Raw genomic sequence first — 15,040 nt, 5'->3', positions numbered from 1 at the left:
GCCAATTAATATTTTGCCACAATTTCCTCTCTCTACATACAATCACATGATTTTTTTTTTGAAACCAGTCAAGTAAGTTGCAGACATCATGCTGCCTCTAAACGCTTCACAGGTATCTCCTAAGAACAAAAGCATTCTCCTAAATAACCATAAAACAATGATCACACTCAAGAAACTTAACAGATATGATGTTCTTATCCAATAATTAGTCTATATTCAAATTCCCCCAATTGTCCCAGTAATGTCTTTTATAGCCTTTTGTTTTGGGGTCCAGGATCCAATTGCGCATGACATGTAGTATTTAGTCCTCAGGTCTCTTCCATCTCTTTTAATCTGAGACAAATTCCCGTCTTTTCTGTCTTATTTTAATGCTGCCATTTTTCAAGGGTTTGGGTTATTTTATAGACTGTCCTTCAGTTTGGATTAGTCTGTTTCCTCAAGATTAGATTCAGGCTTAATGGTTTTGGCAAGAATACCACATCAGTGGTGGTGTGTCCTTCTCAGGGAATTACCTCAGGAGGTGCAAGTCTGTCCCACTTTTGGTGATATTAAGTTGGAGCACGTGGTGATGATGATGGCTGCCAGATTCCGGCCATCAAAAAGGTACCTTTTCCTTTGCAATTGATAAGTAATCTGTAGCATGTTAATTCTACCAATTAACCTCAGCATTTATTGATAGTCCTTGCCTGGAACAATAATCAATGTACTGGGTATAAAATGGTGACATTCTAAGTCTAGCCTTTTAATTCATGGCCTTTACATTTATTAGTTGGCATTCCTCTGTAGAGCTTCCCCTTCTCCCTGACCCCAATTGTTATTTTCAGTATTTCTATGGACCCATGGATTCTTTTTTATTTTATTTTTTTGAGACATTGTCTCGCTCTGTCGGCAAGGCTGGAGTGCAGTGGCATGATCTCAGCTCACTGCAACCTCTGCCTCCCGGGCTCAAGCGATTCTCCCGAGTAGCTGGGATTACAGGCGTATGCCACCATGCCCGGCTAATTTTTTTGTATTTTAGTAGAGATGGGGTTTCACCATGTTGGCAAGGCTGGTCTCGAACTTCTGACCTCAGGTGATCCACCTGTCTTGGCCTCCCAAAGTGCTGGCATTGCAGGCGCTAGCCCTGCACCCAGCCCACGGATTCTTTTTGAAATCAAAATGCATTGTCATCCACTACTGTTATGTTTTGAGAGGCTCAAAATGCTCAAAATGTCCCAAATTTGGCCAGGGGAAGCCCTTCAAGTTGGCTCTTGTATCTTCTTGGCAGGTCCCCATTCATTTTGTGCTAAGAAAATGTCCCAGACTCATTTTGTACTGCCCTTGCCCTAGGGTCCTAGAATGAGCAATTTTCCCAAGAAGCCCTAGTTCTTTTTATGGGAAATGGTATATAGAAACCCAAATCTGAGCACTAGGCATGCTTATTACTATTGGAGTATCAGAAGTAATAATACCCCAGAGGGAAAAACTGAACCAGAGTCCGATCAAGTCTTTAGTCCAGTAGAAACATAATAAAAGTCACAGTGACTTTAAAGTTTATAGTAATGACATTAAAAAGTAAAAAGAAAAAGGTGAAATTAACTTTAATGAGACAGTTACATTCCTTTTTTCTGTAGGTAGTTTTTGAAATCTGGTGTGGACTTCACACTTACAGTGCTTCTCAATTCTGACTTGCCACATTTTAAGTGCCCAATAGTTGCACGTGGCTAATGGCTGCCTTAATGGACAGCGCCATCCCAGATCTACCAGTATACAGAAAATACTGGAGGACAGAAGGGCATGTTAAACGCAATGGGGATGTAATCGGCAAAACCCAGACTGTGGGAAATACTACAGCACCATAAACATGGTTTCTACTAAACATCAGTTATTCAATAAATAGACTGAAGTTTAAAAAAATGAAGGGAATCGTAAATTAAAAGAGAGCTAAATATTTCAACCAAATCCATAGTCTTGATCTTGCTTGGTTCCTTATTTGGAAAAACAATAATACAAAAACATTTATAAGACATTCAGGGATATCTGAACGCTGGCTAGATACTAAGGAACTACTGTCAATGTTTTTAAAAATAATCCTTATCTTTTAGAGACAAATACTGAAATATTTGCAGATAAAATGATATGATGTCTAGGATTGACTTCAACATAATCTGAGGAGGAATATAGGTGAAACACGATTGGCCATGAGCAGAGGCAGGGAGGAGGAAATCTCCTATGAAATAGTACAAAAAGAGAAAGAGAAGGAATGCAAGAAAGAGAGGATAAGAGACAGATGATACAATGAAAGACCACCATATGTCCAGCACGGCTTCTAGAAAGAGAGAAAAGAGAGAAAAGGGGTAGAGTTAATCTTTGAAGAATTTTCCAGAAATGAGGAAAGACATTCATCTTCAGATTGCACAGGCCTACCAGGTGTTAAGATTTAAAATCAAAACTAAAACTCAGGCCCAGATATATTCTCTATAGACTATAAATGATAAAAAATAAAATCCTAAAAACCATAAGAGGGAAAGCCAGACAACCTACAAACGAACAACGACCGGCTTGAGAGTAGACTTCCTGTCAGCAACAAAAGATGCACAAGACCGAGGTGACTTTAAAAGTGTCATGGGCCGGGCGCGGTGGCAACGGTGGCTCATGCCTGTAATCCGAGCACTTTGGGAGGCCGAGGCGGGTGGATCACTTGAGGTCAGGAGTTCAAGACTAGCCTGGCCAACATGGTGAAACCCTGTCTCTACTAAGAATATAAAAATTAGTCATGGGTGGTGGTGGGCGCCTGTAATCCCAGCTACTCGGGAGGCTGAGGCAGGAGAATTGCTTGAACCCAGGAGGTAGAGTTTGCAGTGAGTCAAGATCACGCCACTGCACTACAGCCTGGGCGACAGCGCAAGACTCCGTCTCAAAAAAAAAAAAAAAAGTGTTATGTAATACATATTGTGTGTATAAAACTATATAACTATATATACATAAACTTTATCTATATGTATGTATATCTGTCTCTCTCCTCTCTCTCTCTCTCTCTCTACTGACTATAAAAACACATTTTTAAAAAAAAAGAAATGGGGGGGGTCTTGTTATGTAGTCCAGGTTAGTCTTGAACTCCTGGCCTCAAGTGATCCTCCCACCTTGGCCTTCCAAATAGCTGGGGGACTACAAGTGCATACCACCACACCCAGGTGAAAGTACATTTTAAAAGTCCTTCTCGGCTGGGCGCAGTGGCTCACACCTGTAATCCCAGCACTTTGGGAGGCAGAGGCGGGCGGATCACCTGATACAAGGAGTTCAAGACCAGCCTGGCCAACATGGTGAAACCCTATCTCTACTAAAAATACAAAAATTAGCCGGGTGTGGCGGTGGGCACCTATAATCCCAGCTATTAGGGAGGCTGAGGCAGGAGCATCGCTTGAACCTGGGAGGCGGAGGCTGCAGTGAGCTTAGATTGTGCCACAGTCTGGGCAACAGAGCAAGACTATGTCTAAAAAAATAAAAATAAAAATAAAATAAAATAAAATAAAATAAAAAAGGTCCTCTCCTGCCATGTCTTTCACCCACATCACATCGACCTTGGACTTAGCTTAGATTTCATGATCCACCAGCACCACCTTTGCCTTGTTCCCCTCTCCCTTTATTAAATTTGTCTAGTAAACTCCAACCCTGGTTAAATGCAACTCGCCCCTTCTCCACGCTTGCGGCTGAGCAGTTGAGTGTGGCTGGAGAACAACATGGCATGCTGGAGGGTTCCCTTGAAATCTGTACTCAAGGAAAGCTGAAATAACATACTAGCAACAACAGCATGGCAGCGGGGGAGCCTTTTGGAGAGAAGTGAAAGCTTGCTAAGGATTCTCGTCTCCTTTGAGGGGACAAAGCAGTGATCGAAAAACAAAATTCCTGCTTTTGTGGAGTTTACATTCTATGGTAGAGAGGACAAATTTCAGAGATTTCCTCTGCTCTGTATCCGCTCATGGTCAATCATGTTTCAATCAGGACAAATAAGCAAACAAACAAGTAAATCTAGAGGACGTCCGTACTGGCAGGTGTTATGCAGAAACTAGAGCAGAGTAAGGGAGACCAGCGGGGGCCTGTTCCTTAGCACAGGGTGGCTGGAGATTTACAGGAAGCTAGGGAGCAAGTTCTGTGGTTCAGGAAGAGCATTCCTGACAGAAAGGACACCAAGTGCAAAGGTCCTGAGGCAGAAACTTGGTTGGTGGCCAGTGTGCCTGGGGCAGAGCCATGAGGCGGGTGTGGGAGGAAGTGGGCCAGACAGGTAGTGGGGACGTGCCGTGCAGGGCCTCATGGGTGATTACAGAGGCCTCTGTTTGCTTGACATGGGACTGGACGCCACTGGAGGCTTCTGTACAGAGGGCGGTGTGATCTGATTTATCCATTAAGAGTCCCTCTAACATCTAGGTGAGACAGTGATGGTGGCTTGGACCAGGGTGGCAGCAATGGAAGGGGTGAGAAGTTGTTGGATTGGGGATCTATTCTGAGTGGAGCCAACAAGATTTCCTGATGGATGGGATGAAGGGCATGAGAGAGAAAGGAATCGGGCAGGGATGAATCTAAGGTTTTTGGTTGATGGAACTGGAAAAGCAGAGTAGGCCATTTATGGAGATAGAGAAGACTTAGCAGAAATAGGTTTGCTGTGGTGGGGGAGGGGCTTGCGTCAGGGAACCAGGAGCTTAATTTTGGATGTAGCAAGCTTGAAGTGTCCATGAGGTATCCAAACAGGGATGTCCAGCAGGCATACACACACATACGCTCACACACACACACACACACACACACGTGCCTGAGAGAGCTAGGGGTTGGAGATAACAAGCAGGGAGCACATCAGCTTCTAGACAGTAATTAATCCATGAGATGGGATGGAGTCACTGTGACACTGTCTAAACTTGGAGAAGAAAAGAGAATAAGTTCTGGAGTCTGCAAAGTTTAGAAATGATAGTGATCAGGAGACAATCAGTGAGGCAGGAGGAGAAATGAGTGAGGTGGTATCTCAGAAGGCAAGCAAAGAAAGCATCAGATGCTGCTACAGGGCCAAGTCAGAGGAGGACTGAGATTCAACCACCAGATATGGTTGCCTCAAGGTCCCTGGTGGCAGTGACTGGGTAGGGAAGAGGAGGTGGCTTCCAGCTGGCACCAGGATGGGCACTTTGGTGGGGATGAGGCGTCCTCGGGAACAGCAGGGGAGGCTGAGTAGAGACGTGGATGTGGGCAGGTTTGTGGAGATGGTGCTTGGTGGTACCAAGGGTCTGCTTGAGGGCCATGGCCATGCACAAGGCAAGATTTAACCAGGGTGGGGGTTACAATGTGAAGTACACTGTGGTGGCCACATTTATTTGCCACCTGGGCCAGGCTCTAGTCCCCGGTGACTCCATTAAACAGTGTAGGTGTTGCTGTAGAGGTATTTTGTAGCTGTGGTTGACATCTACAACCAGCTGACTTTAAGTAAGGAGATTACCCTTGCTACTCTGGACAGGCAGTATATACTCAGTTCAAAGACCTTAAAAGTGAAACTGAGGTTTCTGTAAGAAGAAATTCTAACGTGGGACCACAGCATCAATTCCTGCCTGAGTTTCTGGTCTGCCCTACAAATTTCAGACTTGCCTAGTCAGCCCCCACAATCATGTAAACCAATTCTGTGAATTAAATCTCAACCTCTCTTTCTCCGTCTCACCCACCCATCTCTCTCCTTGCCCTTCTCCACACATCCCCCTGCTGGTGTTTCTCTGGAGAAACTTTATGGATACATACAACCAGAAGAGAAAGGGGAAGGGGTGAAGACTATGCAAGCGAACAAGCAGACCAGGGAACTAAAGGCAGTGAGGCACGAACAGGCTGAGCCATGGTGGGCATGGCTGGATGTCTGGGTGGGGTTAAGGAATCGGGACAGCTGAGGCACTAGAGGGCATGAGCTGGACAGAGAGGAGCTAGTGCTCAGAGTAGAATGCCTGCAACTGAGAAGAAGGAGAGGACGTGCTTACTGGTGATGACAGGGGAGTGGAGGGCAACATCATTGGGTGAGAGGAGGCCAAGGATGAGAGAGGCGAGGGCATTGGTAGGGTCATCTACATGAACGCTGAATTCACCAATAATAATGCCAGAAAGGAGCTGAAATCACTGAGAAATGATGTGGAGTCACTGGGAAGGGGAGCAGGCGGCTGTGGGTGGCCACCACAAGGAGGGAACGGTGTCGGGGTTTGTACAGTCTGAGGGTATCCTCTTCAAAGCTGGAGAGGCTTAGAGCAGCATGAGGGAGAACGGTTCGGAGGCAGCAATGATGAGCATGAAAGATGTCTACCCCATCTCCAGGCCTGGAGGTGTGGGCAGCACGGGAGAGAAAACAACCGTAACTTTGCAGCGGAAGCAATGGCCTTAATATTTCATCAACAAACCATATAGCGAATGACACCAAAGCCAAGAATAAGGGCCCAGTGACAGGCTGAGGGAAGCCATCCATAATAAGTACAACGGGCACAGGATTGGCATCCCAACTAGATCAACAAGGAAGCAAAGGTAACCCCAAAGACAAAGGGGCAAAGGACACAGACAAACATTTCACACAGGAGGAAGCCTGAAAGCCGATCACCCAGTGGCAGAGTGGCTGGTTACTTGGTCAGGGAGGACATGTGACTCTGAACATCAGTGAAGCACCACTTCATACTTCTCAGAATGGCAACACCAAAAAGTCTAGTTATGCCCAGTGTTGGCAAAGATGTGAAGCAATGGGGCTTGTGCCACATTGTGGATATGGAGGTAAAATTGACATAGCAGCTTTGCTGAGCCATTTGGCACCATCTAATAAAATTCAAGATATTCATACCTGTACAACATGGATGAAGCTTGAAAACATCATGCTAAGTGAAAAAAGTCAGGCACAGAGGTACAAATATTACATGATTCCATTTATATGAAATGTCCAGAAGAGGCCAATCCATAGATGGGAAGTAGATGAGTGGCGGCCAGGGGCTGGGAGGGGAAGAGAGGGGATGGCTACAAGATTTCATTTTGGGGTAATACAAATATTCTGGAGTTAGATCATGGGAGACAGTTGCACAGCTTTGTGGATGTACTGAAAATCACTGAATTGCACACTTTAAAAATGTGAAATTTGTGGTACATGAATTATATCTCAATTAAAAAATCAAGACCCTGTGGCCCAGCACACACTTGTTTTGCAGTTGGAACAATACAGCCCATGGACGGCTTTTGAAGTCAAGTTTCACTGGCATACAGCCACAGCCATTTGTTCATTTAAGTGCTGACCATGGCTGCTTTTGTGCTACCAGGACACAGCTGAGTATCTGTGACAGAGATGATGGTTATTCATTCTAAGCAGTAAGAATGTGGTGTTCTTTCCTATAACTTTGAAAATTTTCACAATGAAACAATTGTTTTTCAAACAAATTGGCTGGCTTCTGAGCAAGGGAAGTATCGTGGTTTCCCTTCGTGGGCTCGTGGGAAATCAGCAAGGCTGCATGGTCCATTACCTGTCGGCTGCAGAGGTCACCCAGAAAGAACCGCACCTGGGGATTATCAAACCCTTGCTGGATATCAAATACATTGACAGCATATCCTCTTGCCAGCAACTGCTCCACCATGTGCTGCCCCAGGAATCCAGAGCCACCGATCACTGTGCATCTCTTGGCCTGTGGAAAGAGAGGAACGGTGGGGAAGACCAGGGTAGTGAGGACTGGAAGCTACAGAGTCCAGACTTACATATCATGAGCCACTGCAATGGCAGATATACTTGTTTGTTTGGAACTCTTCTTGAGCCAAGTTGGAAGCTTTATATCATCCTGGTGTTCCATCACTAGTGCAACCCTAACCTTCTCTCCTGGGATCAGTAAGGAGGGAAGAGAGATAGCGAATGACACTGAGATTGACTTTGGTTGGGTTTGATGACAAGATCCATGCTTTGTATTCAGTGAAAGGAAATCAAACCACCTATGACCAAAACTGGACAATCTAAAAAATACCCCAAAAAACAGTGATACCTTCTTGTTCCCGATAGCTGATCCCTGGGCGCTTCTCTAAGGACAAAACAAAACAAAACAAAACGGCAGCCATTTGGTAGCTGATAGCTTGCACTGAAAACAACAGAAAGAAGAAAGCAGTCTCCATACTTGCAGGACAAAGTCAGTCCCTTTCCCTCTCTGGCCACAACAGGGCTGGGCTGTGTGGCTCTGGGCTCATCGCCCAACCCCTTCTTGCCTCAGCCTAGAAATCTAAGACCGCCTTGATGGGATCTCCTGGTGGGGCTGCAGTGAGGATGGATGAGCCCAGGGCTCTGCTTTCCCTCCTCCGAACTACAAGGAAGTTGAAGAAATGGGGAGAGCCATGGTGTTTATGTCTCAGCCTCCACAACACACACGATTCCTTGGGTAATTCCAACTCTGGTGACTGGGCATAATGAAAGGACACAGTAGCACATGCAGGCACTTAAATACCCTCATTTCAGGATGTTGATGCCAAACTGTGGCTGCTGCACACCAGACAAGCTGGCTATGGGTGTCTGTGAGGAGGACCTGTGATATCCCTCCTCCCTAGGGTCTTTCTAAAACTGTATCTGGGCCTCCTTAAGATGACAACCTCCAATTTCCTTAGCTCATATACAGTAAATCCAACTTGGGTTTGTGGAAATGAAAGATCTTAAAGAAATTATGTTCTAGATTTAAAAAACAAACAAATCTCCCTACTTATTCCTTAAACATCAACACAATTGAGCTATGCAAGAGACTCAAGGGATGCCAGGGCCAGACATCCTCTCTAGATCCACCTCCCTCCCAGTTGGGGTGTCCCATCTGAAACAGCACTCATACTGGATTCCACCAGGCCCAGCTGGAGCTGGCACTGTACTTTACCTTCATCTGTCCATGTGCAATCTACTAACAAAATCAGCCTCACCATTCTTCTACCACCCAAAACTAACTTCCCAACCTGTTCTTTTCTAGGCTTTATTCTGATTATTCCTAAACACATGTAATCATACCAGGTTACATGATTTGCACCTGGACTGAGATGTATATTTCCTCAAGTCATAGCCAAATTAAATACAAAACTCACATCAATCCCTTTTCTAGCAATCCCTTTCTTCTCCCCTCCTCCCAAGTCAGCTGTACAGGCAAACTGTAGCTATTTAGAATAACTCTGAGCTGCCTGTTTCCCAACCTGGATTTCTGCAGTTTACTAAAAGTCTGGCTAAGCCCAAAGACAGTCAGAACTAGATATGTTACTAAAGCATCCTGAAAGATTTCAGACTGCCTTGTTTATTTCATTTGGCATCTCTAGTTACAGGTGTTTCAAAAGGTTGCTAATCTCTTCAAAAAACAACCTTGCTGTTAGTCCAGTGTGATTTCATTTCACGATTTTAATTGTGACTAATCAGTACGCTACTCTTGGACAATGTGACGTGGATTATTTTATGATATTGAAATGTTCTATCAATAATGTTTGGGATGAGTAGGCCAATGGCTGTTCCCTGGAGACCCTTGTAGTGATGGGAATCAAACTGGCCTTTACCCCAGGGAAGTCAAATGTGTGATAATCATACCTATAATGCTGTGTGATTACAGGAGATCACATGAAACTTTTCATGACCACTTTTTACTTCTCACAGCCACAGTGGACAAGAATGAACATGTACTAACAATCAAGTATAAAACTCAAGACTGGAAACAGCAAGACTCCATAATGGGTTACTGAGGTGAGTTATAAGATCAACCTCTTGGAGACAGTGTTAAGAATAGGGGCCAGGCACGGTGGCTCATGCCTGTAATCCCAGCATTTTGGGAGGCCAAGGTGGGTAGATCACCTGAGGTCAGGGGTTCGAGACCAGCCTGGCCAACATGGTGAAATCCCGTCTCTACTAAAAATACAAAAAATTAGCCAGGTGTGGTGGTAGGCGCCTGTAGTCCCAGCTACTCAGGAGGCTGAGGAGGGAGAATTGCTTGAATCCGGGAGGCAGAGGTTGCAGTGACCTGAAATCACGCCACTGCACTCCAGCCTGGGCGACAGAGCCAGACTCCATCTCAAAAAAAAAAAAAGAAAAAAAACCATTTAGGCAAACTAATCTAATTGCAATAGAATCTTGAGATAACAGAATAGTCTAGGGCGCTGGGTTTTTCCAACCCTTCTTGTTTTGCTTTGTTGTCAGCAGTGGGACCCTTTTCTCAGAGAGGTCTTATGCAGAACGTATAGTAAGTTAAGACAAATGTGTTCTTTTTGTTTTAGTAGTCTAAATTTAGAACTTTTACTTCTTATAAAATCAGTCCACTAATGAGAGAAAAAAATGTTATTTCGAAGGACACAAAAATTTGAAACTAGCTGAAAATGGCAGTTTGCTATAACCATTGGAATCCACCTTTGTTTGCTGGCTGCCAAGTAGCCATAAAACCCAAATTTACATAAATGAGGAACTGCAGATGGCACGTGGCTTCAACCACAGAGGCCCAGAGGAGGCTTGACTCTGAGTTCTACACCAAATACAGGGTGATTTCACGGCCCATGATAACCTCTTAGGGATCTTGAACCTATTAACATTTGATATAAACACATTTTGTCTTGATGTAATTACGTTGTTTGTTTTGTTTTGTTTTGTTTGTTTGTTTTGAGACAGAGTCTCGCTCTGTCGCCCAGGCTGGAGTGCAATGGTGTGATCTCAGCTCACTGCAACCTCCACCTCCTGGGTTCAAGTGATTCTCCTGCCTCAGCCTCCTGAGTAGCTGGGATTACAGGTGTCTGCCACCATGCCTGGCTAATTTTTTGTATTTTCAGTAGAGATGGGGTTTCACCATGTTGGCCTGGCTGGTCTCAAACTCCTGACTTCTGGTGATCCACCTGTCTCGGCCTCCCAAAGTGCTGGGATTTCACAGGTGTGAGACACCGTGCCCAGCCACATTTTTGAAGTGCAGCACTGATTAAGAATCAATCAAAGCAAACCTTTGCAGACTGATGTGAAGAATCTCCAGGAAGCCTGACAACGACCAGGCTCAACAATTTCTTCAAGTCCTCTCTCAGACTGAGACTTGCGACACTAAATCTTAGGCCTAATAAATACTGCTGCCATTTCACTAGGAAGCCCAGCCTGGTCTACTGGAGGCCACATGAAGGCAAACCAAGGTGCCCAGTTGACAGCCACCAGTTACTACCAGAGGTGTGAGCAAGGCCACCTGGGAGCATATGCTTCAAGGGGTCCCCATGTGATTGCAACTACATGCAAGAGCCCAGGGGAGACCATCCAAGAACACCCCAGCTGGGCTCAGCCGAAACCACAGTCATAAGCAAAGAAATGGTTGTTCTTTTAAACCACTGTGTTCTGATATTGTTACACAGCAATAAGTAACTGACACATCTTAAACAAAGCTATATATCTTACATAAAAAATACCCAACATTGATTAATACATGTACAAATACAATTTTTCACCCACAGGTAAATAGTATCAGCCTGTTGGTATGTACGTGTCAACTTTCTCCTTACCTGATTCTGGTTAACCTTTTCTATGTCAGCATTCACTTTGGGAGTGTCCTCTGTCAAATGAGTCCGTGCGACTTGGTCTCTCATTGGCTCGCTAACTGCTGGTTCCATTTCGAAGCAAAATATGGTCCCGTTTGTAATCAACTTTTCTTTTCTTAAAGACATAGTTAGAGACAGACATTAATGTTGCCTAAGTCAAAACATCTTTAGTTGTTAGTGTTTTGGGCAGATGCCATCCCCCCGTTCATGTTTTTACAAATAGCTGAACCATAGCGACAGCTGTTCGACAAGACACTAGGCTCCTGAGTAGCTGGGATTACAGGTGTCTGCCACCATGCCCGGCTAACGGGGCCAACGACTGGGCCTATGACTCACCACACTGTTAGATTAGAGGCGCACAGGAGGCCAGTTAAATCAGCTCACTTATCAGTGACAACATAAAAAACGTCTTTGGCATTGTAGCTTTTTCCATGGCTCTCCCACGCTTCAGTCAGCGTGGATTTCCCCTGTGGTGCTCATTAGGGTGTAGCAGTGCCCACACCTAGGGAGTCCTGCTCTGGGCCTATCACGAACTGTACGGAATTGCTCCAGTCACTTCCCTTTGCTGCAGCTCAGTTTTCCCATCAATGAAATGGGCACAAGGGCTCATGTCTAGGAGCTCAGGACATGGGATGCTGGGACGGGGGATGAGTGGAGTGCAATAGGAGACGGAGCTCTCCTGCTTGGCTAAGTTAAAGCCGCCCTGACGATGCGTGGAGGAACTTAGCATCTTGGGCCATCAGAAACCCTTGAGAAGTGATCAGAGTACAGTGGGCACCCAGCAGTTCACAGCAGGGAGACGGTAGCAATAAAATCCGACAACGTTGCCAAACAGAGGAGTATGGCTTTAGTGACAGCCCTTAGGGTGCTCCTCTCCTCAGTCACCCATGATACTGAACTGCAAACACAAAGATGCCACTTGACTATGATGTATTTGGTCTTGCATCCATGTTTTCTTGGTAGTTGCCAATTTACTTAGTCATGGCTCCCCTAACATCTGGAGATGGCAAAACCCACGACAAGACAAGAGTCTAACTTTGCTCATGAAAGGCTAGATTCACAGAACACTTCAGTGAGGAGGTGGCAGGCAGCACTGGGATTCCACCTGCTGTGATTGCTCCAATCCAACCCCACACCTCGAATTTTACACTCCTTGCCACTTTTAACGAATGGGCATGATCATGTGTCCCAGTGGGGACAGACTTTACGGGCATGTAGAAAGCCAAAATGGCCTTGAAATGGATGCAGGACCCTCAATGTCTGGAGGAGCCATTTGGGGGAACATTTTTCTGAACTCATAATGGAAGTTATTAAGAAACTGTATGTCAAAACTTGACTTGTCATGGCCATTTTTAGAATGCATTGAAGTCAATCTGTAGCTCTGTGCCTGCCCTGTCCCTCCCTTTATCCCAGAATCCCCTTCACATTGGTAGGGGCCCTGTCAACTGTTCATTCGAAAGACATGTGGCTGATATTGAACTCACTGGGACTCAATGTGTATCTAGACCAAAGCAGCTAGAGAACAAGGATTTTGGCACCTTGCACCAAAGCCTTGCCCACTGTTGCAACTTGGGCATGAAGCATAGTGCCCAGCACAAAGTGGGCACTCACATATCGGCCGGGGGTCATGAGACTACCATGTGTGGGCACACCCACCAGAGCTCCCATACTGCTCTCCATCGCATACATGCATATCCCATCTAAGGTGCAGGGGCTTCAGTGGGGCAAGTGACTGTTATTTAGTGATGATATAATCACGAATGCCCACTGCTGGCTTCTTATCCAGATTCCCCAGATATTCAGGGAAATGTGAGCAAATGAAAAGGCACATGGCATCTACAGGGGCAAGGAGATGGCTCACATCTGGCCTCTGACCCCACCAAGGCCTTATTGACCTCTGCTGGCAGGGGATCTGAGGGGCGTGTGCCTGGGGCAGTGACAGGACCGCATGACAGGCTAACTAGGCCAGCCGGGCTAAGCAAGCCCACCCCTGTGGAGTTCTGCTCTTGTAAGCCTCTGCTCACCCTCTACACATGAGAAATCACAAATCACGCCACTCCTCAGTGCAGCTGGCAATAAATTAACCCAGAGTCGGCTGCCTGGGTTCAAATCCCAGCTACTATTCCTTACCAGCAGGTAGCCCTCGGGGGAGTTATTTAAAAGAACTGAGCTTGCCTTTCCTCATATGTAAAGTAAATGGCCTCATAAGGTCATTATGAGGATTGTGTCAAATACCTGTCAACACGCCATTCAAGGCAGCTAATTTTATTATCATTGTAACACAGCTTCCTGTGCAGGAGTCTCCCTGCCTATGCCTCCTCTTGGGCTGCCTTTGGACTCTCTCCACCACTTTAGTTCTCCCCTATCTAATCTGCTGCCATGCGGTATAAGCTTGGGCAGGCAGGGGCTGTCCTATCTGTCCTGGAAACGGCTCCCAGGTCCTGCCTAAAGGCTAACTCCTGGGGTTGTCGCAACAACTAGATGCTGGCTAACAAATAAACAACCAAGGACATGCTTTGTAAAGTAGGTGTACAGCGACAGCATGGGGCAGGAGTGTAAAGAAAGACTGGGACTCGCAAGCAAACTTGGGTGGAAAGAATCATTTCCTCTTTGGCCTCATTCAATGAATAGCATAATGACTAACACCAAATGCTTCATTCAGTTCTTCTTGAACCAAAAAGTAACTTTAACTGCTCCCGTAGCCTTAAGTTTTGCATGAAAAGTAGGAAAAGAATGGGCCAATAGAGGTCCTTGGAGGCCTGGTAGGCCCTAAATCCAATGACAAGTGGTCTTATAAGAGACATACAGAGGGGAAAGGCAGGGAGAAGAGGAGGAGGCCATGTGAAGATGGAGGCAGAGGTTAGAGTGATGTGGCTACAAGCAAAGGAACACCTGGAGCCACTAGAAGGTGGAAACAATGAAGAACGAGTCTCCCCTGGATCCTTCAGAGGGAACACAACCTTGTCAACACCTTGATTTTGGACTTGTGGCCTCCAGAACTGTGAGAGACACATTTCTGCTTTTCTAAGTCACCCAGTTTGTGGTCATCTGTTACAGCAGACCCAGCAAACTATACGAGTATCCTTTGTAGTGCCGAAATCCAAATAGCAGAGCTGCCAATTCCACAAGTCCCCTTGTATGACTAGCAAAAGCAAGAAGCCTTAGAGCCTATTCCTCTCCTCGTTTGCTAGAGGAGGATGTAGGAGGTCAAAGAAGAAACATGTCTCACCCCAACGGAGCTGTACTGCTGAAACAATAATCACACAATTCTTTGCAAACCAGCCTCTTGTCAAAACAAAATCTCCTTTGTCTCAAATTATATACCAATTATTTTAAAGTTTGTAAATACTATGAGTCAGATAAGAATTTTGGTGACAGCTTAGCTGTCTCTATGGGTTGGAGTACCCAGAGCTAGCCGCGCAAATGAGTCAGATCCCATAGGCAACCCCCGTCCCCTGCCTACTCACCTAAATTCACCATGTGATATACGCTTGGGTTAAAATGTACATTGAGAATAGCTCTGACT

The 15,040-nt window shown here is 45.5% G+C and overlaps 1 protein-coding gene across 4 annotated transcripts in view; it reads right to left on the bottom strand.

The window, feature by feature from the left end:
• Positions 1 to 15,040, bottom strand: part of NSDHL (NAD(P) dependent 3-beta-hydroxysteroid dehydrogenase NSDHL) — a 38,667-nt gene that overhangs the window by 11,819 nt on the left and 11,808 nt on the right. For all 4 annotated transcript variants that reach the window (NM_001441099.1, NM_001129765.2, NM_015922.3 and 1 more), the window contains 2 exons: positions 11,479 to 11,629; positions 7,488 to 7,646 (listed from right to left, as the gene is read on the bottom strand). In NM_001441099.1, coding sequence (NP_001428028.1) covers positions 7,488 to 7,646; positions 11,479 to 11,586 — 267 coding nt within the window. In that variant the 5' untranslated portion in view covers positions 11,587 to 11,629. The remainder of the gene's footprint in view (positions 1 to 7,487; positions 7,647 to 11,478; positions 11,630 to 15,040) is intronic.

This window comes from Homo sapiens, chromosome X, assembly GCF_000001405.40.
Source record: "Homo sapiens chromosome X, GRCh38.p14 Primary Assembly".
Taxonomy (NCBI): Eukaryota; Metazoa; Chordata; class Mammalia; order Primates; family Hominidae; genus Homo; species Homo sapiens.
The sequence above is the reverse complement of the archived record's forward strand: the minus strand, read 5'-3'. Positions and strand labels throughout refer to the sequence as shown.